The sequence below is a fragment of the Homo sapiens genome, chromosome 1 (assembly GCF_000001405.40).
Source record: "Homo sapiens chromosome 1, GRCh38.p14 Primary Assembly".
NCBI lineage: Eukaryota > Metazoa > Chordata > Mammalia > Primates > Hominidae > Homo > Homo sapiens.
The window spans coordinates 155,912,052-155,938,120 of NC_000001.11; the positions used below are offsets into that span (position 1 = coordinate 155,912,052).

General features: G+C 42.9%; 1 protein-coding gene, 1 long non-coding RNA gene and 2 other non-coding genes across 4 annotated transcripts, besides 4 other annotated features; 1 reads left to right on the forward strand and 3 right to left on the reverse strand.

The window, feature by feature from the left end:
• KHDC4 (KH domain containing 4, pre-mRNA splicing factor) lies at positions 994-22,362 on the reverse strand. Its single transcript, NM_014949.4, has 14 exons — positions 22,285-22,362; positions 21,582-21,798; positions 17,661-17,789; positions 17,245-17,324; positions 15,053-15,105; positions 14,625-14,788; positions 13,581-13,792; positions 11,576-11,636; positions 9,810-9,867; positions 9,324-9,577; positions 5,448-5,621; positions 4,574-4,686; positions 3,822-3,913; positions 994-2,269 (listed from the first exon to the last, which is right to left on the reverse strand). Exons 1-14 carry the CDS (start codon positions 22,320-22,322, stop codon positions 2,070-2,072), a joined length of 1,845 nt encoding a protein of 614 aa, NP_055764.2. The 5' UTR covers positions 22,323-22,362; the 3' UTR covers positions 994-2,069.
• On the reverse strand, positions 7,858-7,991 carry SNORA80E (small nucleolar RNA, H/ACA box 80E). Its single transcript, NR_002974.1, has one exon. It is a non-coding gene; the product is annotated as a small nucleolar RNA, H/ACA box 80E (small nucleolar RNA).
• On the reverse strand, positions 13,907-14,035 carry SCARNA4 (small Cajal body-specific RNA 4). Its single transcript, NR_003005.1, has one exon.
• Positions 21,868-23,067: an enhancer, noted in NCBI's record as "MED14-independent group 3 enhancer chr1:155903710-155904909 (GRCh37/hg19 assembly coordinates)". NCBI's record gives its function as "activates an origin of replication core promoter dependent on BRD2, BRD4, P300/CBP and CDK7 cofactors, and independent of MED14, by STARR-seq in HCT116 cells {active_cell/tissue: HCT116}" and the evidence as "EXISTENCE:reporter gene assay evidence [ECO:0000049][PMID:35650434]".
• Positions 21,923-22,489: an enhancer, noted in NCBI's record as "NANOG-H3K27ac-H3K4me1 hESC enhancer chr1:155903765-155904331 (GRCh37/hg19 assembly coordinates)". NCBI's record gives its function as "activates a minimal SCP1, AML or CMV promoter by ChIP-STARR-seq in primed H9 embryonic stem cells {active_cell/tissue: H9 hESC(primed)}" and the evidence as "EXISTENCE:reporter gene assay evidence [ECO:0000049][PMID:30033119]".
• Positions 22,029-22,338: an enhancer, noted in NCBI's record as "active region_1823". NCBI's record gives its function as "activates an Ori minimal core promoter by ATAC-STARR-seq in GM12878 lymphoblastoid cells {active_cell/tissue: GM12878}" and the evidence as "EXISTENCE:reporter gene assay evidence [ECO:0000049][PMID:35858748]".
• LOC107985207 (uncharacterized) lies at positions 22,417-24,204 on the forward strand. The gene is made up of 2 exons (XR_001738244.2): positions 22,417-22,498; positions 23,197-24,204. It is a non-coding gene; the product is annotated as an uncharacterized LOC107985207 (long non-coding RNA).
• Positions 22,439-22,598: an enhancer, noted in NCBI's record as "active region_1824". NCBI's record gives its function as "activates an Ori minimal core promoter by ATAC-STARR-seq in GM12878 lymphoblastoid cells {active_cell/tissue: GM12878}" and the evidence as "EXISTENCE:reporter gene assay evidence [ECO:0000049][PMID:35858748]".
• Positions 24,205-26,069: the final 1,865 nt, after the last annotated feature.

Sequence of the window (26,069 nt, forward strand, 5' to 3'; positions counted from 1 at the left end):
TTACGTAGCACAGGTGCTAGAAGAAACTGACACGAAAATTGTTCTCATGCAGCTCTGCCTACCACTGTTCTTTTTAAATGTCTTTCTGGGCCGGGCGGGCGCGGTGGCTCACACCTGTAATCCCAGCACTCTGGGAGGCCGAGGCAGGTGAGTCATGAGGTCAAGAAATAAGAGACCATCCTGGCCAACATGTAAAACCGTCTCTACTAAAAATACAAAAGAATTAGCTGGGTGTGGTGGCATGCGCCTATAAGTCCCAGCTACTCGGGAGGCTGAGGCAGGAGAATCACTTGAACCTGGGAGGTGGAGGTTGCAGTTAGCTGGCTGAGAGGGTGCCACTGCACTCCAGCCTGGCAACAGAGCAAAACTCCGTCTCAAAATTTAAGTCTTTCTGGCCAGGAGTGCTGGCTCACGCCTGTAATCCCAGGACTTTGGGAGGCTGAAGTGGGCTGATCACTTGAGGATCAGGAGTTCAAGACCAGCCTGGCCAAAATGGTGACTCCCTGTCTCTACTAAAAATATAAAAATTAGTTGGGCATGGTGGTAGGTGCCTATAATCCCAGCTACTCAGGAGGCTGAGGCTGGAGAACCACTTGAACCCAGGAGGTTGCGGTGAGCCAGGATTGCACCATTCCACTCCAGCCTGGGTGACAGAGCGAGACTCCATCTCAAAAAAAAATAAAATGTCTTTCCAAGAATAACATATTTCCTTTAAAACCCGCTTCATTCATGAAGTCCTTTTAATACGCTGTTAAATAAAGGAGGGCTAAAATATGAAAATGGAAAATATCCAGCATAATAATCCTTAACCTTTTCATTTGAACTTTAAGGGTACATTTTGCAGTTACATAACTCTGGGAACTATATGCAAACCTTGGGGTCTGTATATGTATTTTTCTGGTAATGTTATAGTTGCATTGTGCTATGAGTAAAAAAGTTTATGAATTTCAGTGTATGGATGGGTTGTGGAAGAAAACAGAGAAACCACAAGCAGAATATTTATAGATTTATTTATAATGAAATTATGGTCTAAATATTTACAACATATAGGAAACCAGAGGATAAGTTTATACAAAGCCAGCCTGCAAAGTATTCAAATGTGCAAAAATGACAGTTCAATATCTCAAACTATTCCTGGTTCAGCAGACTAGCTCCTTCACTTTCACACATCAATATTTGATACAAAAAGTTATTTTGGCAAAATCTGTAATGCCAAGAAAAAGGACAATTTGCAATTTCAGTCATTAAGTCCAAAATCCTATAGCCAGCAGTCAGATCTCTCTGTTTTAGCTGCAACCAGTTCTGGGAGAGAGAGACCACTGTATTTCATTTCTGTGATGAGTTCTGACCAGTTTTAGTCAAGAAGTTTTCTCTGACCCAGCTGAAGACAGGATCTTAGAAGGGCAATAAAAACAGTAATGGCTATGAGACCAATGTGCCTGAAGGTGCCAGCTTTGGATCACCCCAATTAAAAAACACAATGAAAAAATAATTTCATTTTCCTATCCAGGATCCAGCTATATCCAACAGTTTTAAATGAGACAGCATTTTCCAAAACAGAAATAATCCAAAACAAAACAGGGATGCAGATCTGTCAGAATTAAATACTGAAAAGGACGGTCTTAAAATCATTTCCCCACTAATAAATAGTAAGGCTCTGTTTGTAACCAGTTATATATCAAAATTGACCAAACAGTAGTAAAATACAAATAAAACTTTCTTTATGTCAGAACTGGGGCTATTCACCTGGAAAAGGCTGACCAGGTCAAATGTGTATGGGAACGACCCTGTTAGGATGCTTTGTTGGACAAGCACATTTCACCAACTGTTAAAAAGCTTCTGAGATAAATTTGTGATTCTAATTAAATTTTAACAGATTCTATGCCACTGCAGAAATAAGGATTTTTGTGGTTGTTAAGGAACCCCTTTAAGAAAGGGGGGCACTGAATCTCTAACTTCTGCAAAGGTCCAGATGGTTCCCAGCACAGGCCCCAGAGTCTTGTTAAATCAAATGCATGCATTATTGCTAAGAAGAGTCACTGAGGGTCAAAACTCTGTTCCACTGTTTCCTAGGGAGCCATCCAGAATGGCATCTGTTGTTTAGCTCGTGGTTGTGATGAAGGATATTGGTATCCCAAACTCCAGCCCTGTGGAAAACTACTTGCATTTTTATGACCTCCATGTTCCTCCTCTTCATCAGATGAATCTGCAGCATAAGCCACCAAGCCAAATCCCTTCTCTGTAGTTTTCATCTTCTTGGCTGGATAATCTAGAATAGAGAAAAAACAACCCCAACCCCATCCCCGCCAAGGGAAAAAAAAAAATACCATAAATTCGTTAATTAAAAAAAAGATGTTAATTTTAAGTGGTTAGTTGGACACCATTTTGAGGTCACAGGGTCAATGGTCACCCAAAAACGTTGAAGATCACACGAAAAACAGCACCAGCATCAGCAAATGTGAATCCACCAGAACCATGTAAGAAAACAGAGAAAGAAAAAAGAAACACAAAAAAAGAAAAAAAAAGAAAAAAAGGAAAGTTAGCAAGTGAGTCTCTTGAGGGCTGATATTTCACCTTTTAAAGAGTTAAAAGAAAAGAAGTTAAGAAAAGAAAAAAACGTATTTTCTTCTGTTCATTTTTATGAGTACAGGCAAAGAATAAAATATCCCATGTACCTCTACAGGATTTAGAGTTCTGGAATGCTAAAAGGCAACATTTTCCTAACAGCCACAAACTGACCATTACTGACCAATAGAGTTATAAGGGGAGGTGTGGCTCAGCTCCCAATATAAAGCAAAATCAACCTTTATTAAGTCCGTATCAGATGACCTCCTGGTATTCACATAATATAGGCAACAGGATTTTGAAATGACCTACCACTCATTACTATTCACTGATGCTATGTATAAAATAAGTCGACTAACTCTTTTCTAGATACACGTTGGTTGGAAACAAAAGGTTGTCTGTATACAATTTTTTTAAAACTATTTTCTCTCTCTCTCTCTCGGCACACGTTTGTTGGAAATAAAAGGTTGTCTGTATACAATTTTTTAGAAACTATTTTCTCTTTCTCTTTCTTTTTTTTTGAGACAGAGTCTCACTCTAGTGCCCAGGCTGGAATGCAGTGGTGTGATCTTGGCTCACTGCAACCTCCACCTCCCAAGTTCAAGTGATTCTCCTGCCTCAGCCTTCCAAGCCGCTGGAATTACAGGCATGCACCACCATGCCCAGCTTAATTTTTCTATTTTTAGTAGAGACGGGGTTTCACCATGTTAGCCACGCTGGTCTCAAACTCCTGACCTCAGGTTATCCGCCCACCTTGGCCTCCCAAAGTGCTGGGATTACAGGCGTGAGCCACCGTGCCCAGCCCAAAAGTATTTTCACTGGCCAACAGATTATAGAGGTTGGATTAAACACCTGAATGAACATCAGGTTAGAAAATTAATAGCTTTATTTATGTATTTATTTATTTATGAGATGGAGTCTTGCTCTATTGCCCAGGCTGGAGGGCAGTGGTCTGATCTTGGCTCACTGCAACCTCTGCCTCCCAGGTTGAAGCGATTCTCCTGCCTCAACCCCCTGAGTAGCTGGAATTACAGGCGCCCACCACCATGCCCGCTAGTTTTTGTATTTTTAGTAGAGATGGGATTTCACTATGTTGGCCAAGCTGGTCTTGAACTCCTGACCTTAGGTGATCTGCCCACCTCGGCCTCCCAAAGTGCTGGGATTACAGGCGTGAGCCACTGCGCCCGGCTGAGAAAACTAATAGCTTTAGACCAGTCTTAGCCACTCCCCTGTTCCCCCAGCTATATCACACTCACCATGGCTCCCTGTTAAGGTCCCAGACCCATTCCTTTCATCGGACTCTGTTTTTATTCCAGTCACTGGAAAGGCTGGTGGAGGCATCAACTGCCTATTGAAAAACAAAATGAAACTTTCTTTCAGACAATTTAAATTTTCTTAACTTATCCAGTGGATTAGAAGTGCAATTATGTCTGCAGACAATCCTTCAAATTCATTTTAACCATTAATTTCAACCCCTTCCACCTTCCCCCAGCCCCTTTATAAAAGTATAAGGCCTGTCTACACAGCAATTGCCATGACAAAAATCGAATGAACTGTTATAGAAAGATATCAGCTCCTTTCTTATGAAGGTTAATATACTAATATAAGAAAGGAAAATTCAAGCACTGTGTGGCAGGCTGAACTCCCACATTCATGTACTTCCATCCATGATATTCTAATGACTCTAAAGTAGCAAAAATAGCTGAATTATGTAACATTTCTGTTACTGTCTACCCTTAGGAAAATGGCCAAGATGCAGACAATGGAAGTCAAGAAAGATGTCTGAACAAGTAATAAATTATTCAAAACCGAATATAACTGCTTCTAAATCTGTAAAAGGCCTATCATATTTTACTTCATTGCATCAATTACAACAAACAGAAGCATATTTGATTCAAAGATTTCATTTCAGTTTCAGAATACTTAAGCTCATAGCAATGATCATTACTCTCACTAATGGTGCAAACAAATAACATCTGAATACATTTGCATAATTATTCCAACTTACCTGTCCCTCTCTCTCTCTTTGCCTGAGGAACTTGCTGGCTTCGATCCTGCACCTTCAATCTCATTCTGACTGGAGAAGCCTGTACCTAAATTAGTCATATGAATGGGTCCATGCTATGAGCAGAAAAATACAGTGGCATTAGCAAATCTACAACTGCCGTATTGACTTTAGCTCCTTAATGTAACTGTCAAGTGCCTCATCTTTCTGATAAGTTGTAGTACGTTAAACTACTACAAAGCTCTTTGGGATCTGCTGTGTAACTGTAGTCAAAAGTAGGGATTTTTTTTTTTCTCTATAGGACTTGGACAGGGGTGTTATAATTCATTATGCTATCTATGGCCTGTTTTTAACTGACTGCCCATAGCTCCACTAGTTTCTATAAACCTAGCTAGAAACTATAAAAAAATGCTTTGGTTTAAAGAATGATTCAAGGATTCTGGCAAAATGGAAAGGTACTTCTGATAAAATTGCACCAAAACTACAAATTAAGAATCTTTTTAACTTTAGTGGCTAACTTTACAATTACATGTACAGAATCACTCCTTTTCTAGCAGTCTTGAGGGGTGGGGAGACTGGAGGGAGATATCACTCTCTTTTTTAGGTGGAGGGTAAAAGAGAGAGCACCACTGAAAGCCAAGGTTTTAAATACAAACCACATACTGGTAGATCAAGAGCTTTGAGTGAGATGTATAAGAAAGTAAGAACTCTCAGAGGCTTTCAAGAGTCTGTTGAATAGGATAAAAAACCTAACCAAAATGAATTCCAGAAAGCAGAAATCCTAGTACTGGGAGAATGATGTGAATTTATCTTTTTTAAAGGGAGAATATAGTAGAAGAATAAGGTGAAGATAGGAAAACAGGGTATTTTATTTAACCTGGTATCCAAGCAGTCCAGATTCCCGTTCATCTGGTAGCTCCTCTGTGAATCGTCTCTTCTGTGCCTGGGGCTGACTTGGGAGTGGGGGCTGGGGCTGGGGCTGGGGCTGGGGGCCAGCAGGCAAGGCAGTTTTGACAGGAGCAGCAGGAATAAAAGGACCACCCATCGGACTCTGGGACCAAAACAAACCAAGGAAGAAAAAAAGTGTGAGAATGCCCAAGGAATAAGTAAACAATGATTACAATATACTTTAAGGATCAATAAGTATCATATGAATTTTGCATCTTCAGGTCCTTAGTTTCCTTCATGTATAATTTGGTAACATTATCACCTAAGCCTTCTCACCTTCATCCTAGGGAAACATGAAATTGACAACCTATATACAGTGCTTTGAACTTTTAAGAAAACTCTGTTATGCATTTGGGCTACTAGGAGTAAACATGACCATTAACAAACAGAACTCCAACCACTGACAGTCGATGTGATTAGCTTTCTGTAATAAGCTTTCTGTTATTTATAAATGCTGCTAATGCTTGTGGAAGAAGCAATTTCATCTTCCACTCCCTTAGTTATCACTAAGCTACTATGTCAAGATTAAGTCTAATGTTTGAAGATGTTGTTCCAAAAAGGAATAAGGGGTATCAGAAGACAGTATATATTACAGAGGAATAGGCAGGTCTGAAGAGAAAACTCTATACAGCCATGCATTGCTTAGCAATGGTAATACGTGTTTTGTTTTGTCTTGTTTTTGAGACAGAGTCTCAGTCTTGCTCTGTCTCCCAGGCTGGAGTGCAATGGTGCCAACTCGGCTCACTACAACCTCTGCCTACCAGGTTCAAGCGATTCTCTTGCCTCAGCCTGCCGAGGGACTACAGGCACGTGCCACCATGCACAACTAATTTTTTTTTGTACTTGTGATCCATCTGTCTCAGCTTCCCAAAGTGCTGGGATTACAGGTGTGAGCCACTACGCTGAGTGGGAATATGTTTTGAGAAATGCACTGCAAGGCAATTTTGTCATTTAACAAATGTGTACTTATACAAACTTAGATGAAAATAGCCTACTACACACCTAGGCTATACGATATGGCCTATTCTTCTAGGCTACAATCCTGTATAGCATGTTACTGTACTGAATGCTGTAACACAATGGTAAGTATTTGTGTATCTAAATGTAGAAAAGGTACAGTAAAAATATGCTACTATAATTTTACAGGACAAGCATCATATGTGCAGTCTATCACTGACTAAAACGTTGTAAGGTGGCTGACTGTATTAATAACACAGCTAACGTTTACTGACAGATTGGATCATCTTACTTAATCCTTGCAAACCTCTGAGATTTTTATCACTGTGCCCATTTTACATCTAAGGAAAACCAAACCCTAGACAGGGCAAGTTACATCCCAATATCACACAGCTCAAAAATGGGAAAGCAAGATCAACCCTGTCAATCTAATTCTAACTCCCAGTTTTTTTTTTTTTTTTTTTTTGAGTTTTGCTTGTCACCCAGGCTGGAGTGCAGTGATGCAATCTCGGCTCACTGCAACCTCTGACTCCTGGGTTCAAGCAATTCTCCTGCCTCAGCCTCCCAAGTAGCTGGGATTACAGATGCCTGCCACCGCGCCCAGCTAATTTTTGTATTTTTAGCAGAGACAGGGTTTCACCATGTTGACCAGGCTGGTCTTGAACTCCTGACCTCAAGTGATCCACCCGCCCCAACCTCCCAAAGTGCTGGGATTACAGCTACATGAGCCACTGCGGCTGCCTTAACTCCCTGCTTTTAACCACTCTGCTGTATTGCTTCCCAATTACAAAGGACTGACCTTCAAAAGTAGAGACCTACAGAGCTGTCTAAATATAAAAATTAAAATAATTTTGGCTGGGCACGGTGGCTTATGCCTGTAATCCTTGCACCATAATCCTAGCATTTTGGAAGTCCGAGGCTGCGGATCACCTGAGGTCAGGAGTTTGTGACCAGCCTGGCCAAAATGGTGAAACCCCATCTCTATTAAAAATACAAACATTAGGCCGGGCGCGGTGGCTCACGCCTGTAATCCCAGTACTTTGGGAGTCTGAGGTGGGCGGATCACGAGGTTAGGAGATCAAGACCATCCTGGCTAACAAGGTGAAACCCCATCTCCACTAAAAATACAAAACAATTAGCCAGGCATGGTGGCAGGCGCTTGTAGTCCCAGCTACTCGGGAGGCTGAGGCAGGAGAATCGCGTGAACCTGGGAGGCGGAGCTTGCAGTGAGCCAAGATGGTGCCACTGCACTCTAGCCTGGGTGACAGAATGAGATTCTGTCTCAAAAAATAATAATAAACAAAAATAAAATAAATAAATAAAATAAAATAAATTTGACTAGAGACCACAAATAAAATTTAGTTCATAGCTTTTTTGTTACACACTGTGCAACCCCCTTCAGTGCTCACAGCCCACAGGTAAGGGGACTGGGCAATGGTTCGAGGCTGCCATTTGCTATGGCATGGGTACACTATGAGAGGCCCACAGAGAAGGACCCACCATAAATCCATTACCATGCTCTCATTAAGTCTCTCCCCTGCCTCCAAGACCAGTATATATAATCCATCCAGATTATTATCCAGACATCTACTCTTTTCCTAAAATTCTACTTTCATGATTTAAGAAATTGTGGCCAGGTGCGGTGGCTCACACCTGTAATCCCAGGACTTGGGGAGGCAGAGGCAGTTGGATCATGAGGTCAGGAGATCGAGATCATCCTGGCTAACAGTGAAACCCCGTCTCTACTAAAAATACAAAAAAATTAGCCAGGCGTGGTGGTGGGTGCCTGTAGTCCCAGCTACTTGGGAGGCTGAGGCAGGAGAATGGCGTGAACCTGGGAGGCGGAGCTTGCAGTGAGCTGAGATGCGCCACTGCACTCCAGCCTGGGCAACAGAGCGAGACTCTGTCTCAAAAAAAAAATTTTTTTAAGTATACATTTCTTAAGTTATAAAAGAAACATACCAGCATTTATAATCCTTACATTTGAAAAGTTTATATATCTCTTACATAATGTTGCTTTTTAAAATTTTTTTTGAGACAGTCTCACTCTGTCACTGAGGCTGGAGTGCACTGGCACCATCTTGGTTCACTGCATCCATGACCTCCTAGGCTCAAGGGACCCTTCCATCTCAGCCTCTTAAGTAGCTGAAATACAGGTATGTGCCACCATGTCCAGTTAATTTTTTTTGTAGAGATGGAGTCTCACTATGTTGCCTAGGCTGGTCTCAAACTGTGCTAAAGCAATCCTGCCTCGGCCTCCCCAGATGCTGAGATTATGTTTCCTTCTAAGATTTGAAATGCTAACTCAGTTCCAATTACTGAGAGGTGTGGTGAAGGTAGCCCCATTCTCCTTGAGGACTTTGTTAACACTGCAAAGGTAAGGTTAGGCAAACAATGGCCAAGGGTATGGCAAACTATGACTGTGGCCTGCCACCTGTTTTGTAAATAAAGTTCTACTGGAGTACAACAGCTATGCTTATTCATTGAGGTATTATCCACGGGCTGCTTCTGCACTACAACCACCGAGTGTGATAGTTGTGACAGAGAATGTATGGCCCTTAAAGCCTAAAATATTTGCCATCTGACCCTTTATAGCAAGTGTGCCCACCATCCCCACTTTAAACAGCTATTTGGTGTGCAAGACTTGTGAAAATATAAACTTCAGGATGACATACACACATACACACTAATCCAAAATATTCAGGTAGGTTGGTGGTAGGAACACAGAAGACAGCAGGAAAAAGACATTCCACATCACATGATTTATTTCTGGAATACCACTACTTCCCCTCTTTCCCCAGTTTTTCCTAAATTCAGTAATATGTTGTTGCATATCCTGACATCCTACCTGTCCAGTGCTAGCTGGAGGCTGCACTTGTGTTATCGGGTATTGTGTTGGCACAGGTGGGACTCCAGTAGGTAATGCCGGCAAGACTCCAGGTGCTAATGAAACAGCTGGTGGCACTATGCTTGGTACTCCGTAGGGAGGTTGAACTGGCTGCTGAGGAGGGGGAACAACAGGGTAACCAGACTGATAGCCATTGGATGGATAATATGGTGGTTGAGGAGGGACACTACTTATAGCAGAGGGTTGTGTATAGCCTGAGGGGGAAGAAAAAAAGTGTTTAATCAGCTGCAGCAGAATGAGACAATTTAGCTGAATATTAAACTTAATATCTAGGGAAGAAAAATACTGAGGCATGAATGGCTTTCCAAATTACCCTAAATTAAAGGGAACATTAATAGTGCCCTGGCACAGTCTAGCCTCAAGTATCATAGTTACACATAACTATCACTAGCAAAATATTTTTTAAACACTTCAAGATGTACACACCTGGTAAAGGTACAGCAGTATTAATCTGATTCACAAATCTAGAGTATTCAGCATGAACCTGAAAGAGAGGGGGAAACAAATTAACATGGGACAGCCGAAGCTGTGCATTTACAAGGGTCTGATTACATAATTCTAGGACCAAAGCCATTAGGAATTAAAATATATCTACCAATGTTCCAATCAAATTTAAACTTGTTTAACCCACATTTTTTTTTTTTTTTGAGACAGTCTTGCTCTGTCACCCAGGCTGGAGTGCAGTGGCGCGATCTTGTATCACTGCAAATCTTTTTTTTTTTTTTTTTTTTGAGACAGTCTCACTCTGTCACCCAGGGTACAATGCAATGGCATGGTCTCAGCTCACTGCAACCTCCACCTTCACGGTTTAAGCGATTCTCCTGCTTCAGCCTCCCAAGTAGCTGGGACTACAGGCGCGTGCCACCGCACCCAGCTAGTTTTTGTATTTTTAGTAGAGACGGGGGTTTCACGATGTTGGCCAGGCTGGTCTCGAACTCCTGACCTCATTATCTGCCCGCCTTGGCCTCCCAAAGGGCTGGGATTACAGGCATGAGCCACCGTGTCCAACCCACCTCAACATTTTAATAAGGCAAATCTATAAATTATTAAGCCAATTTTGGGAATTAGGAGAATAATCCTGAATCCCCTAAACCATACTCAATTCTGGGGTACAGAATCATTTAGAAAGCCACAGAAATTAAGTAACTAGGAAATTTCCAAGTTGTTAGTATAACTGGTGAGACCTCAATTCATTCACATTTACTGGGTGACTTTTCCTCAAGGAGCTCACATTTAGTAAGGGTTTCGTATTTTCCTCATACTTCCTTCCTATATATTATTAAGTCCATAACCTCAAGTACCAACAAAGATGGGAAATAGTCAAGAAAATTATCCGGTACAAGGGTTGGTAAATCAGGTGCTATGTACAAAAGTAAAAAAACAAACAAAAAAACCAACCATGAGCTACCCAATAAGGCACCAGAGAACACAAGGTTGAACATATTCAGTGCAAAACCTGATTTCCTCTAAGTGCTATAAAGACAGTCCTGGCCGGGCGCGGTGGCTCACGCCTGTAATCCCAGCACTTTGGGAGGCCGAGGCAGGCGGATCACGAGGTCAGGAGATCGAGACCATCCCGGCTAAAACGGTGAAACCCCGTCTCTACTAAAAATACAAAAAAGTAGCCGGGCGTAGTGGCGGGCGCCTGTAGTCCCAGCTACTTGGGAGGCTGAGGCAGGAGAATGGCGTGAACCCGGGAGGCGGAGCTTGCAGTGAGCCGAGATCCCGCCACTGCACTCCAGCCTGGGCGACAGAAAAAAAAAAAAAAGACAGTCCTAAGGTTTAACTTTTGGTTGTTTATAGAATAAAAAGAATGCATAATCAAATGAGCAATCATCCCCCAAACATGTCTAACTGGTTTTAAATTATTATAGTTCTACCCTTACTTCAGACTGGAGTTATGCTAATACAAGCCAAAGAAAACCAACACAATGACCAGGTGCTAGGAGAGAGGAAAGGCATGGGATGATTTCTCTCTCAAAGACTCCAGAAGGAACCAATTCTGCCAGCACCTTGATTTCAGACTCTGCTTCCTGGACTGTGATAGAATAAATTTGTGTTATTTTAAGCCACCCAACTGCCATAACTTGTTATAGCAGTACTAGGAAACTAAACAGGTGAAAGAAACAGCTAAGACATACTCCAAAATGGCAATTGCTCTTCTGAATGAGTATCAGACAAATACAACTCACTGTTTGCAAAAGATTCTCACAAAGCTTCTTGGCAGCAGCCAGGCCTTCTGGTTTGGGGTGACTGCAAAGAAATAACCAGGAATTCAAAGGAGAGAAAAATAAATAAAAGATGCAGAATTCTGCTTTCATTTTCCATGCTATTTTACATATCTACATTAATACATTCACTGTAGCTCAAATCTAGGCCTCTGAAAATCACAAAACAGAAACACAAAACATAAGTCTTTTAAGATATAACCACTATCATTACCACAAATATTTTATTAGTCTTTCTCTGAGTAATGGTACTTCTCGATATAAAAATGTTTAAAGTTCATAAAATTACTATAAAACGTATTAATATTGACATAGGTTTAAATGAAAATTATTTCAGACTTATCACAGCTCACTTTAAGATTTGCTTTTTTTTGGCCGGGCGTGGTGGTTCACGCCTGTAATCCCAGCACTTTGGGAGACCGAGACAGGCGGATCACGAGGTCAGGAGATCGAGACCATCCTGGCTAACACGGTGAAACCCCATCTCTACTAAAAATACAAAAAATTAGCCGGGCATGTTGGCGGGTGCCTATAGTCCCAGCTACTTGGGACGCTGAGGCAGGAGGCGACAGAATCTTGCTCTGTTGCCCAGGCTGGAGTGCAGTGGCGCGATCTCAGCTCACTGCAAGCTCCACCTCCTGGGTTCACGTCATTCTCCTGCCTCAGCCCCCGAGTTGCTGGCACTACAGGCGCCTGCCACCATGCCTGGCTAATTTTTTTGTTTTATTTTTAGTAGAAACGGGATTTCACTGTATTAGCCAGGATGGTCTCAATCTCCTGACCTGATTCATCCGCCTCGGCCCTGAAAGTGCTGGGATTACAGGCCAAGATTCACTTTTGTACAGACTTGTACAAAACCAAAGGACTTGAATACTAAAGAGATAATTCCGTCTCCTAATTCAATAATTTCTCTTTTTTTTTTTTTTTTTGAGATGGAGTCTTGCTCTGTTGCCCAGGCTGGAGTGCAATGGAGCAGTCTCAGCTCACTGCAACCTCCGCCTCCAGGGTTCAAGCAATTCTCCTACCTCAGCCTGCTGAATAGCTGGGATTATAGGTGCCTGCCACCACACCTGGCTAATTTTTATACTTTTAGGAGAGTCAGGGTTTCACCATGTTGGCCAGGGTAGTCTCGAACTCCTGACCTCAAGTGATCCGCCTGCCTCGGCCTCCCAAAGTGCTGGGATTACAGGTGTGAGCCACCGCACCTGGTTTTTTTTTTAAGACAGGGTCTCACTCAGTCACCCAGTCTGGAGTGCAGTGGTGCAAACACAGCTACCTGCAGCCTTAATCTCCTGGGCTCAAGCCATCCTCCTGCCTCAGCCTACTGAGCAGCTGGGATTAAGGTGTACACCATAACACCTGGCTAATTTTTTTTTTTTTTTGAGATGGAGTCTCGCTCTGTCACCCAGGCTGGAGTGCAGTGGCGCAATCTCAGCTCACTGCAAGCTCCACCTCCCGGGTTCACGCCATTCTCCTGCCTCAGCCTCCTGAGTAGCTGGGACTACAGGCGCCTGCCACCACACCCGGCTAATTTTTTTTGTTTTATTTTTAGTAGAGACGGGGTTTCACCTTGTTAGCCAGGATGGTCTCGATCTCCTGACCTCGTGATCCACCCGCCTCGGCCTCCCAAAGTGCTGGGATTACAGGTGTGAGCCACCGTGCCCGCCTAATTTTTAAAATTTTTTTGGAGAGATGGGGTTTTGCTATGTTGCCCAGGCTGGCCTCAAACTCCTGGGCTCAAGTGGTCCTACGCCTTGGCCTCCAGAAGTGTTGGGATTACAGGCATGAGCCACCGTGCCCCAATTCTACAATTTCTTTAACTAATTATAAAGTAATTACTCCTAGCATTTATCTAAATCCCTCATTACTATTAATTACACCCAGTTTTCTCTTGCTCCTTCTGAATCACTCCTGACTGTACCAACAAGTTGACAAGAATTCACATGTCCCCTGCCCTATCCATCCATACCTGATGTAAATATACATAGGTTCAAAAGCTTCTCGGCCAGATGCTGGCTCAATGCAGCCTGAACCTTTGCCCCGCAGGAAGACTTTGGCACCTGTTTCAATCTGAATGTGCTGCAAATAGGAGCAGCCTGGACCTTCCACCTTCTCCTTGACATTAAAAGTGGGTACAGCATGTTCTAGACCCACAAATAATTTATCTTGAACATAATGCATCTGTAGGAAGAACAGAATACTTCAGATTAAACAGAATATATAATTAAATCCTCAATCTTTGAAATAAGTCAATAAGAAATTATAGCAAAGACAGTCTCCTGTAAAACTGGGGTAGAGTGTTGGGTAGTACAGTCAGCCCTGTGATACTCTTCAGTGAAGGCTGCTCTCTCCAACCCTTTTTTCTAGGAGGAATGTATCAGCAAAGTCTTACTTCATCAGACTCAGCCTTCTTAGTCCTCCAGTTGTCATCAAGTTTACAAATACAAATTAAAACCACTAACTTCAAAATGTACAACATGTATACCTTCTGCTCTATCAATCTCCTTTCTAGAATATATCAATATGAAGAAATGTGTGATCAGGTGTTCATTATACCGTGGAGAGCTGGATAACACACAAACAGAATACCTATGGCAGGTAACTTTCGGGATTGGAATTTGGAATTTCACGATTTTTTTTTCTTTGTATGTATTACTTGGCACTTTTTTTTTTTTTTTTTTTTTTGAGATGGAGTCTTGCTCTGTGGCCCAGGCTGGAGTGCAGTGGCATGGTCTCAGCTCCCTGCAACCTCCACCTCCCGGCTTCAAGCAATTCTCCTGCCTCAGCCTCCCAAGTAGCTGGGGTTACAGGTGCCTGCCACCATGCCCGGGTAATGTTCGTGACGGGGTTTCACCACGTTGGTCAGGCTGGTCCAAATTCCTGACCTCAAATGATCCACCCACCTTGGCCTCCCAAAGTGCTGGGATTACAGGAATGAGCCACTGTGCCTGGCCAGCACATATCATTTTTATAGAAATGATAATGCTATTAACGATCCCTCCCCAAAACATACCCCTGACTGGAAGGGAGGCTTCTGGCTAACAGCTGGAGACAACTGAGCGATGGGTGCTGGCTGGTGATAGACAGTTACTGTTGCACCATTAAAAGTTGGACTTGTTCCTGTGGCAGCTTTTACCACTCCATTGGTGATAATTTCTTTGATCCGGTTTACAGCTCCTTAGAAAAACACAGACAGTAAAACTGAATGGAATGAACTGACTAGTGCCCAGGCAGGCCAGTGTTCAATTATTCACCGTAAATCTGCTTTATACGTTACCCAAATATGTGGCTCTCCATCCCTCTAAACTCCCATACAAATTCGTGTATAGTTCATGAACAAGGGTTAGAACAGCCATCAGGGACACTTTGCCAACTTGCTATACAGAGCCCTGTACTTTGCTCTTCACAAAAAGTGCTACGTGAGCCAAAAACATTACTTACTGTCCACTAATTCCCGTGTCTGGCCCTGAACATGAAGATATAATGGACGATCCCTATAAAGAGAAACAAAAAAGGATGATCTCAATGTGGTCAAAACCAAAAAAGGAGTCAAATGGGTCACCAGATCTAATTTGTAATGTTTCAAGTTTCCAAATAACCAAAAGGGACTATATACATTAGAAGGGTTTTTGCTAGCTAATGTCTCAGAACATGCTTTAACAGCTGGGGAACAAATAAACTTCTTGATTTTAAAAGTCAACTGGCCCACAGAGTTCAGATCAAATCTGTTCTTATGGATTCACTACCATTATTTTCCAGTCTATTGAGATAACCCAATATTTAAGAACAGAATTCCTTTTTGCTGGTTGTCTAATAGGTTATAAACAAATGTGGTCTCGTCTATCCAAATCAATGGGGCAAGCTGGGTGCTGTGGCTCATGTCTGTAATCCCAGCACTTTGGGAGGCTGAGGTGGGTGGATGACATGAGGCCAAGAGTTTGAGACCAGCCTGGCCAACATGGCAAAACCCCATCTCTACTGAAATTACAAAAATTAGCCGGGCATGGTGGCACGCCTGTAGTCCCAGCTACTCAGGAGGCTGAGGCACAAGAATCACTTGAACCCAGGAGGTGGAGGTTGCAATGACCCAAGATCATGCCATTGCACACCAGCCGGGGCAACAGAACAAGACTCTGTCTCCAAAAAAAAAAAAAAAAAAAAAAAAAAAACCACACACACACACACACACACACACACACACACACACACACAAAATTAATGGGGAAAGATTGATCATGCATATAGAGAAACCTCTTAAGGTCTACATCAACTGATAATTTAGATTCTAAATGTGAAGAGGACTTAAATTATAATAAAGTGATCAATAACCATATATAGTTAATAAAAAGTAGCAGGTAAAAATAACTTTTTAAAGACAAAGTTCAAAACAGCAATCAACACATATAGAAAGTTTAAATACATTCTTGGGGCTGGGCACGGTGGCTCATGCCTGTAATCCCAGCACTTTGGGAGGCCGAGGCAGGGGAACCACCCGAGGTCAGGACTTTTGAGACCAGCCTGTCCAACATCGTGAAACCCCATCTCTACTAAAAATACAAAATTTAGCCGGGTGTGGTGGCGCATGCTTGTAATCCCAGCTACTCGGGAGGGTGAGGCCAGAGAATTGCTTGAACCCAGGAGGCAGAGGTTGCAGTGAGCCGAGATGGCGCCATTGCACTCCAGCCTGGGCAACAAGAGCAAAAACTCCTTCTCTAATAAATAAATAAATAAATAAATTCTTGGCTTGGGGTAGGAATTAAATTTTGCCACCTTATTTTGTGTAGTTTAAGCTAATGTTAAAAATGTTGCATTCCCTAAGTACCTATCAACTGACAGTGAAGAGAAACTCAAACACGGAATGATGGAAGGAATAAAATGAAACAGATTAAGTCTTTACCTGAATAATCACAAACTATAACCATCATAAAGACAAAAAAAAAAAAAAAAAAAAAGAGCCCATTTGTGAGGGGAACTATTTCCACAGAAAAAAGTTAAGAAGTATATACAATGCCGGGCGTGGTGGCTCACGCCTGTAATCCCAGCACTTTGGGAGGCCGAGGGGGGTGGATCACAAGGTCAGGAGATCAAGACCATCCTGGCTAACACGGTGAAGCTCTGTCTCTACTAAAAATACAAAAAATTAGCCAGGCGTGGTGGCAGGTGCCTGTAGTCCCAGCTACTCGGGAGGCTGAGGTAGGAGAATGGCATGAACCCAGGAGGCAGAGTTTGAAGTGAGCCGAGATCACGCCACTGCACTATAGCCTGGGCGACAGAGCAAGACTCCATCTCAAAAAAAAAAAAAAAAAGTATATACATTATTTCTGCAGATCATATGGAACAGAAAGAAGAAAAAAGAGTATATACATTAAATGTTAGTGGTTAGTATCTTCTTTTACACTTTCCTATAATTTGTTTCCTCCAATAAAAACATTAAATGTGAAATAAAAGTCCAAAAACAGGTCCCAACATCTTGTATCTGTTTGATATCCAGAATTCTGCTATAGTGTGCACACACATACCCCTCAAACCTTGAATCAAATATTGTGTACACGTATTACCTAAGGATAAAAAACATGAGGCTAACGTGAGTCATACACCCAACCCTTCCATAAACAAGATAAGAGAATACGCACCCTGGTCCCACTTTGGCTTTTTCCTCAGTTGTCATGAACCTCCCTCGAGTTGATACTGCAGCCCCACTAAGTCGGCTGATCTAAAAAAGGAAATGTTCAATTAAAAAAATGTGGCAATTGGTTGATTTCAATGGCAGACAGATTTTCTTCCCATTCATTCATTCAACCAAGTAAAGAAGGAAAGAATTCTCTCCTGTATCTGAAATTTTGATTCCATGGTTTCTTACTCAAACCAACCCAGAGAATTCATTTATATCCATTCCATTATCTTCCTCTGAAGTTAAATTAAACCCAATCCTGACTTTAGAGACTATGACCCAAACCCACTAATAAATATCTGACGCCTGTCTATTTAGAGGTCTTCTTTATCTGAATCCACTCACCGCCCTCCCCAAAGAGTCTCAATGCCTCCTCACCTCGTCTTGAGTCTGTCCTCGAGTCAGCAAGTTCCTACATGTGAGAGGCACATCATTAATTTCTACTTCAGCTACCACCAGGTCATCCTTGCTTTTATTGCTAGTTAGGCCTTTGCCAGGAGCCTGAAGCTAGAAAAAAGAGAAATTAGATTAAAAAGTTTTTATGATGAGATAAAGTCTATTTTTTTATTTTATTTATTTACTTATTTATTTTTTCATTTTTTTGAGATGGAGTCTGTCGCCCAGGATGGAGTGCAGTGGCGTGATCTCAGCTCACTGCAACTTCCGCCTCCTGGGTTCAAGCAATTCTCCTGCCTCAGCCTCCTGAGTAGCTGGGATTACAGGTGTGCAGCACCATGCCCAGCTAATTTTCGGATTTTTAGTAGAGACGGGGTTTCACCGTGTTGGCCAGGCTGGTCTCGAACTCCTGACCTCAGGTGATCCACCTACCTCGGCCTCCCAAAGTGCTGGGATTACAGGCGTGAGCCACTGTGCCCAGCTGAGATAAAGCCTTTTAGTCATCCAATGTACAACTATCCTTTCCCAAGTCCCACACCTCCCTACCCTTCCCTTCATCTGCCTGTAAACACAGTTGGTCATTCTTCATAAACGAATTAACAAGCAAACAAAAATCTCACTAAAATGACATTAAATAAAGTCAATAATAAAGTCAATCTGCTTGAAGGCCACAATCAAGATTTCTCTGTGACCTTGGCCCTATGTGCATTTTTATGACCACCTAATTACAGAAGCTCTAGGGACTAGAAGCTACAACCTTCAAAAAGAAAATTAAAGGGCCAAGTTATGATACTCTATAGCTCAGTTAGTTGGCTGTACATGGAGTAAAACACAATAGAAGGTAGAGGAGCAATGCCTACAATACATATACCTCATGCATACAATAGGAAGTTGTCTTTGTGCCACTCCTATAATCCTAACATAAAATCCAACTAACTCCATCCTTGTAAAGCTCTCAAAAACCCTTAAATTGTATCTAACTAATAATTCCTCACTCTATTACAGCAGAACAAAGAAGAATGAAAAAACAGTAAGATGGTAAAACCTGATCCGGTTTCTTTCAATTTAAACTACATGGAGTTTGTGATCAGCCTGGTCAACATGGTGAAACCCCGTCTCTAGTAAACATACAAAATTAGCCAGGTGTGGTGGTTCGTGCCTGTAATCCCAGCTACTCCGGAGGCTCAGGCAGAATTGCTTGAAGCCGGGAGGCAGAGGTTGCAATGAGCCGAGATCACGCCATCGCACTCCAGCCTGGGCAACAAGAGCAAAACTCTGTCTCAAAAATAAATATATAAATTACAAAAAAAGGCTGGGACCGGTGGCTCACATCTGTAATCCTAGCACTTTAGGAGGCTGAGGAGGGTGGATCGCTTGAGCCCAAGAGTTTCAGACCAGCCTGGGTAACATGGCAAAACCACATCTCTAAAAAAATACAAAACATTAGCTGGGCACGGTGGCATGAGACTGTAGTCTCAGCTACTCAGCAGGCTGAGGCAGCAGAAAGCAGTGATTGTGCCACTGAACTCCAGCCTGGGCAACAAAGCAAGACTCTATCACCAAAAAAAAAAAAAAAAAAGACAGAAAGACAGAAAGAAAGAAAGAAAGAATGAACGAAGGAACCAAACAGGCTCATGCCTGTAATCCCAGCACTTTGGGAGGCTGAAGCAGGGTGGGCAACATGGCAAACCCATCTCTTCAAAAAATAAAAAAAATTAGCCGGGCATGGTGGCATGCGTCTGTAGTCGCAGCTACTTGGGAGGCTGAGCCTGGGAGGAAGAGACTGTGCCACTGCACAGTCACTGCCTGGGCAATCAAGCCAGACCCTGGAACCACAGGCATGCACCACACCTAGCTAATTGTTTTTGTATTTTCTGTAGAGACAGGGTTTCACCATGTTGCCCAGGCTGTTCTTGAACTCCTGGCCTCAAGTGATCCACCCACCCGCTTTAACCTCCTGAGTAGCTGGGACTACAGGGGCCTATCTCCCCAACCTATGTCTAGAAAATCTGCTCAAGAAGGTAACATACTGTTGTTTACTTTGTGCATTAAATACATTTTTTAAATGTGGAGGCAAAACTAAATACAAACTCAGCAATATCACCTTACCTTTATTTAACCCCTTATAGTATTCATTTACATTATCATCTCAATGAATCCTTATGGCCGCCTTTAATAGTACTTATCAATGTTGTCCAAGAGAACTTTTGGTGACAAGGGTTCTAGTCTATCAGTCGAATATGGTAGCCATTAGCCACATGTGTCTCTTGAGCACTTGGCAGGTGGCTAATGTGACTAAAGGTCTAAATTTTAAATTGTATTTTGGTTTTGCTTTGCTTTTTGCTTAAACAACAGGAATTTATTTCTCACAGATATGGAGCCTGAGAGTATTTAATTATTTGTATTATTTAGACAAGGTGTCACTCTGCTGCTCAGGCTGGAGTGCAATGGCAAAATGACAGCTCAATGCAACCTCAAGCTCCTAGGCTCAGGTGATCTTTCCACCTCAGCCTTCCAAGAATCCAAGAAGAATTACAGAGGAGCTGGGACTACAGGTGTGAGTCACCACACCCAGCCCCTTAATTTTAATTTAAATTGCCACATGAAGCTAGTGACTACTGCACTACACAATGCAGGTATATATTACCAACGAGAAAGCTGAGTTTCATTATGCCAAAGCCATGTAACCAGTAACTGTGGATTCTGGGTTTCAAACTGTGGATTCTGGGTTTTTAGGTTTTATGATTCTAAATCCAGTGTTTATGTATCCTGCTGAGGTCAACTACCTAAAGATTATTATTTTAAGAAAAAAAAAGAGCTTAAACGATTAACATCAGTATTAAAAATCTTAATATACAAGGAGCACTACATCTTTGTCAAGATGCTTTTAATTTTTCCTCATAAACCTTATAAATGGATGACTGACTCACACAATCTTTGCAAACAATAGGCTGCGCCTGGTGGCTCATACTTGTAATCCCAGCACTTTGGGAGGCAGAGATGAGCTTGGTCAACATGGTGAAACCCTGTCTACTAAAAACACAAAAAAAAATTAGCCGGGCATGGTGGCATGCACCTGTAATCCCAGCTACTCGGGAGGCTGAGGCAGCAGAATCAGAATCACTTGAACCCAGGAGACAGAGGTTGTAGTGAGCCGAGATCACCCCACTACTGCACTTCAGGCTGGTGACAGAGTGAGACTCTATCAAAATAAATAAATAAATAAATAAAACCCTACAGGTTCTAATTAGAGATGACACTATGGGGCTCACTTGATTTACCTGAACTCCTCTGACTTCAGGGAAAAAGCACATATATTAAAAACATGTTATGTTGCTTTAAATGACTATGGAAATACAGCTTAAGCTGAACTAAGTGAACAAGGACAAGACAAGGTATTTGGTCCATAAATGTAATCAGCCCAATCAAAAACGCCTCGTAAATATGTATTTGTAACAAAATGTGTTCTGGAACATTCCAAAACTAAATGATCTCTCAACTACTATATCCATTTATCCTTTACTAACACAAATTATTATGCGATTACAGGATTACAAACAACTTTTTTTTTTTTTTTTTGAGACGGAGTCTCATTGGGTCGCCCAGGCTAGAGTGCACTGGCACAATCTCGGCTCACTGCAACCTCCGCCTCCCGGGTTCAAGCAGTTCTGCCTCAGCCTCCTGAGTAGCTGATTACAGGCGCGTGCCACCATGCCCGACTAATTTTTGTATTTTCAGTAGAGACGGGGTTTCACCATGTTGGTCAGGCTGGTCTCAAACTCCTGACCTTGTGATCCACCCGCCTCGGCCTCCCAAAGTGCTGGGATTACAGGCGTAAGCCACCGCGCCCGGCAAAACAACTATTAAATTCGCAATTAGTGGAGACCCTTCAACTTCAAATACCTTCTCAGAAGCATTCTGAGTTGGTTTCAGCTTCCCTTTTGCCATGAGCATGGCATTAATCTTGGCAGCCACAGCAGCAGCAGCATCCAAGGCTCCTGAAGGAGCAGCTGTGGTGCCCCCAGGACTTCCCCCACTGCTGGTGACCTCCCCACCTGGGGCCGCTGGCGGGAGGAAGAGAAGTGGGGCTGGAGCTGGTTGGTCCCATTTGCTGCGGCGCCTACATGGAGAAAAAGGAAAACATTAGGCCCCAAAGCTTTCGTGTATGTTATTCTTTCCTTACTACGCCTTAGCACCCCATTTTCCCTCTATTATATTCCATTTACACCTCCGAATCACCTTCCAAATCTAAAACTCCCCTCTCCTTAAACAATTATTGCTTATTTAACAAACCCCCACTTTCAACCCTTCCCCAAAATCTTTCGTTTCTACTGTCACCTATATCGAAAGACTCCACTCTATCCTACACGCTCTAGTTTACGCCTTCCCCTTGGCTCGCCCTTCCAAAAGTCCCCGTTTGCCTCCTCCCTCGGATCCCCGCCGGCCCTTTAAGGGCCCCAGGCCTGCTCAAGATCCTTCTCCCCAAACGTCCAGCCCTTTACTTCCCACTTAAGGACCCTTCCACCCTATACGCAGCTTCTCAGGGTCCCTCCGCCTCTCCTGCGCCCCAGTGCTCGCTCCGATGCCCTCGCCCCTGAAGCCGTACCCGCCAGCTCCAGGATGTGTCGCGCTCCCCGCGGACATGGCGACCGCTTCTACTCAACCACCCGCCAACTATCCGACTACCACCTCTCGTCACTTCCGCCCCCAACGTTCTTACGCACAGCCTCTTCCGGTCGTGGGGCCGAGCGGTTCCGGTGAAAATGTCGATTCCGATTGGACTCTCGATGATTTAAAGGCATCTGGCGTTTCTGAGGCAGGTAGGGTGTGATCTTCCGGGTTGCGCCTTAACCTTAAGAAAGATGGCTGCTGTGCCTACTATAAATGCGGAATCGGGGCTAGCTGAATCCATCTTTATCGTGGGCATGTTGTTAGACTAGAAGACAATATGCATGAGTCAGGAGATTAAACAGGTTTCTCCTCAAATTCCGCTACGTTTGTGTTGAGTCCTAGTTTCTGTCTGGGGAGACAGCCTTCCCGCGGCTTTTGCCCGTTTCACGTTTCTGTTACTTAGGAAAAGGAAAAGGATTCGTTGCAAAGATCATTTGGAGAATTTCTCTGTTTGTTTGCTTCATTTCTGTGCACCAAGCAGGGAATATAAAAATAAAAAGATGAATAAGCCGCAGGCCCTGCCATTCTGGTACTCTCAATGTGGCAAGGCAGGTACGCAGGCAAATATGTATGATAGAGTTGTATATTAAGCAAAGGTCGAAGAAGATAAGCTGCTCATCTTGCTGGAGCGTTTAAGAATGGGACGCTAAAAAGCCGGTTGAGTACTGGAGAGGCGATCAAGCATAGGTTATGGAGCACCCTGTTCTGGCATCTGTGTACTTAACGGTTGAGCTGGCTGGAGTGGGAGGCCAGAAGATGAAAGGCCTTGAATGCTATGCTGAGGAGTTTGAGTTGATTCTGTAGGCTAAAGGTTTCTTTTTTTTTTTTTTTTTTTTTTTTGAGACAGTTTCGCTCCGTCACCCAGGCTGAAGTGCAATGACGCGATCTCGGCTAACCACTCTCCGCCTCCCGGGTTCAAACGATTCTCCTGCCTTAGCCTCCCAAGTAGCTGGGATCACAGGTGCCCGCCACCACGCCCAGCTAATTTTTTGTTGTTGTTGTTTTGTATTTTTAGTAGAGACACAGTTTAGCCATGTTGGCCAGCCTGGTCTCAAACTCCTGACCTCAGGTGATCCACCCGCCTCGGCCTCCCGAAGTGGTAGGATTACAGGCGTGAGCCACCGCGCCCTGCCGAGGCTAAAGGTTTCTAACCTTTAGGATGTCTTGGAGCTTCAATGAGTCTCCTGATCCTCCCACCTCAGCCTCTGAAGTAGCTGGGACTACAAGCACGGGCCACCACACCTGGCTTTTTTTTTTTTTTTTTAAGAGACCGGGGTGGTAGGGGGTGCGGGGGTGGGGGGTGTCTTACTATTTTGCCTAGGCTGGTCTCAAACTCCTGGGCTCAACCGATCCTACCACCTCGGCCTCCCCAAAGTGCCCCTTTTCCTCTTCTCCCCAAAACACAATGCTGTTGGGATTCTGATTGAAATTACATTATTTATTATATTTGTCATTTTAAAAAATTTGTGATGTAACTCCTATGCCATAAATTTACCCTTTTTAAAGAGTAAATTTAAGTGCACAATTCAGTGTTTTTTAGTGTGTCCACAAGATTGTGCCACAATCATCATTATCTAATTCCAGATTATTTTCATCACCCCAAAAAGAAACCCCTCACCTGTTAACAGTCACTTCACATTTCTCTTGCCCCGCAAGACATGGGCTACCACTAATCTACTGTTTCTCTGGATTTACCTATTTTACACATTTTATATAAATGGAATTATACAATGTGTGACCTTTTGTATCTGGCTTCTTTCACTTACAGTGTTTTCAAAGTTTATTCATGTTGTAGCATATGTCAGAACTTCATTTTTTTATCACTGAATAAACTTCATTCTTTTTTATCACTGAATTTCTTTTCCATTGGATGTATAGACCACAATTTATCCATTCATCCATTGATTAACATTTGAGTTGTTTCCACCTCTTGGGTATTGTAAGTAGTGCTGCTGTGAACATTCACAAGTATTTAAGTATCTGTTTTTAATTCTTTAGGGTTTACATGTAGAAGCAGAATTGCTAGGTCATATGGACATCTTGTTTAACTTTTGTGGAACTGCCAAACCAACTGGCTACACTATTTTACATGCCCACCAGCAATGTACCAGGGTTCCTATTACTCCACATCATCCCCGACCCTTGATATTTTCAATTTTTTAAAAATCTTTTTTCTTTTTACTTTCCTTAGTCTTTCCTGTGTCGTATCTTTTTTTTTTTTTTTGCCTTGTTAAAGAACCTAGCTTTTAGTTTTATTCATCAATTCCATATTAATTTTTTTTTTTTGAGATGAAGTTTCACTCTTGTTGCCCAGGCTGGAGTGCAGTGGCGTGATCTTGTCTCACTGCAACCTCCACCTCCCGGGTTCAAGTGATTCTCCTGCCTCAGCCACCTGAGTAGCTGGGATTACAGGTGCGTGCCACCACACCCAACTAATTATTTGTATTTTTAGTAGAGATGGGGTTTCACCATGTTGACCAGGCTGGTCTCCAACTCCTGACTTCAGATGATTTGTCGGCCTTGGCCTCCCAAAGTGCTGGGATTACAGGCGTGAGCCACCACACCCAGCCTTCCTTTTGGGAAAATTTATATTGTTTTCCTCCCTTACTTTTTTTTTTTTTTTTTTTTTTTTTTGAGTCTCACTCTGTTGCCCAGGCTGGAGTGCAGTGGCGCGATCTCGGCACACTGCAAGCTCCGCCTCCTGGGTTCACGCCATTCTCCTGCCTCAGCCTCCCAAGTAGCTGGGACTACATACAGGTGCCTGCCACCACGCCCGGCTAATTTTTTGTATTTTTAGTAGAGACAGGGTTTCACTGTGTTAGCCAGGATGGTCTCGATCTCCTGACTTCATGATCCGCCTGCCTCAGCCTCCCAAAGTGCTGGGAATACAGGCATGAGCCACTGCGCCCGGCCCCCCTTATTTTCTTAAGTTAAATGTTTAGTTCACTTATTTATAATTCTTTTTTTTTTTTTTGAGATGGAGTTTCACTCTTGTTGCCCAGGCTCGAGTGCAATGGTGCTATCTCAGCTCTCTGCAACCTTCACCTCCCAGGTTCAAGTGATTCTCCTGCCTCAGCTTCCTGAGTAGCTGGGATTACAGGTGTCTGCCACCATGCCTGGCTAATTTCTGTATTGTTAATAGAGATGGAGTTTCACCATGTTGACCAGGGTGGTCGTGAATTTCTGACCTCAAGTGATCCTCCTGCTTCGGCCTCCCAAAGTGTTGGGATTCCAGGTGTGAGCCCCGTGCCCAGCCTTATAATTCTCATAAAAGTCTTAATTTCACCAATAACATTTCTCTTTTGATGGCCAAGTGAGGTGACTCATGCCTATAATCCCAGCACTTTGGGATTCCGAGGCTGGTGGATCACTTGAGGCCAGGGCAACAGAGTGAGACCCCATCTCCACAAAAAATAAAAATTAGCCAGTGTGGTGGCACTTCTGTAGTCTCAGCTACTCAGGAGGCAGAGGTGGCAGAATCACTTGAATCGAGAAGGTTGAGGCTACAGTGAGACATGATCACACCACTGCACTCCAGCCTGGGTGACAGAGCAAAGAAACATAAAATAATAAAACATTTCTCTATTGATACAACGGAATCTGATTTTCTAAACTCAATTCAATAGCACTTTGTTCTACTGTTAATTGAAAAACTCTCTCTAAAGTGAGATACGTTAGGCTGAGGTCATTTTTCCTTTCTGTTGGGTGCATGGTCAAAAA

Coding starts and splice junctions, on each gene's coding strand:
- KHDC4 (NM_014949.4), bottom strand. CDS start 22,322: ATGTCCGCGGGGAGCGCGACACATCCTGGAGCTGGCGG. Junction 9,868..11,575: donor GTGAGAATCTTTTGCAAACA/GTGAGTTGTATT, acceptor CCTCTCTTTCAG/GTTCATGCTGAATACTCTAG. Junction 5,622..9,323: donor CTCCAGCTAGCACTGGACAG/GTAGGATGTCAG, acceptor TTTTGGTCCCAG/AGTCCGATGGGTGGTCCTTT.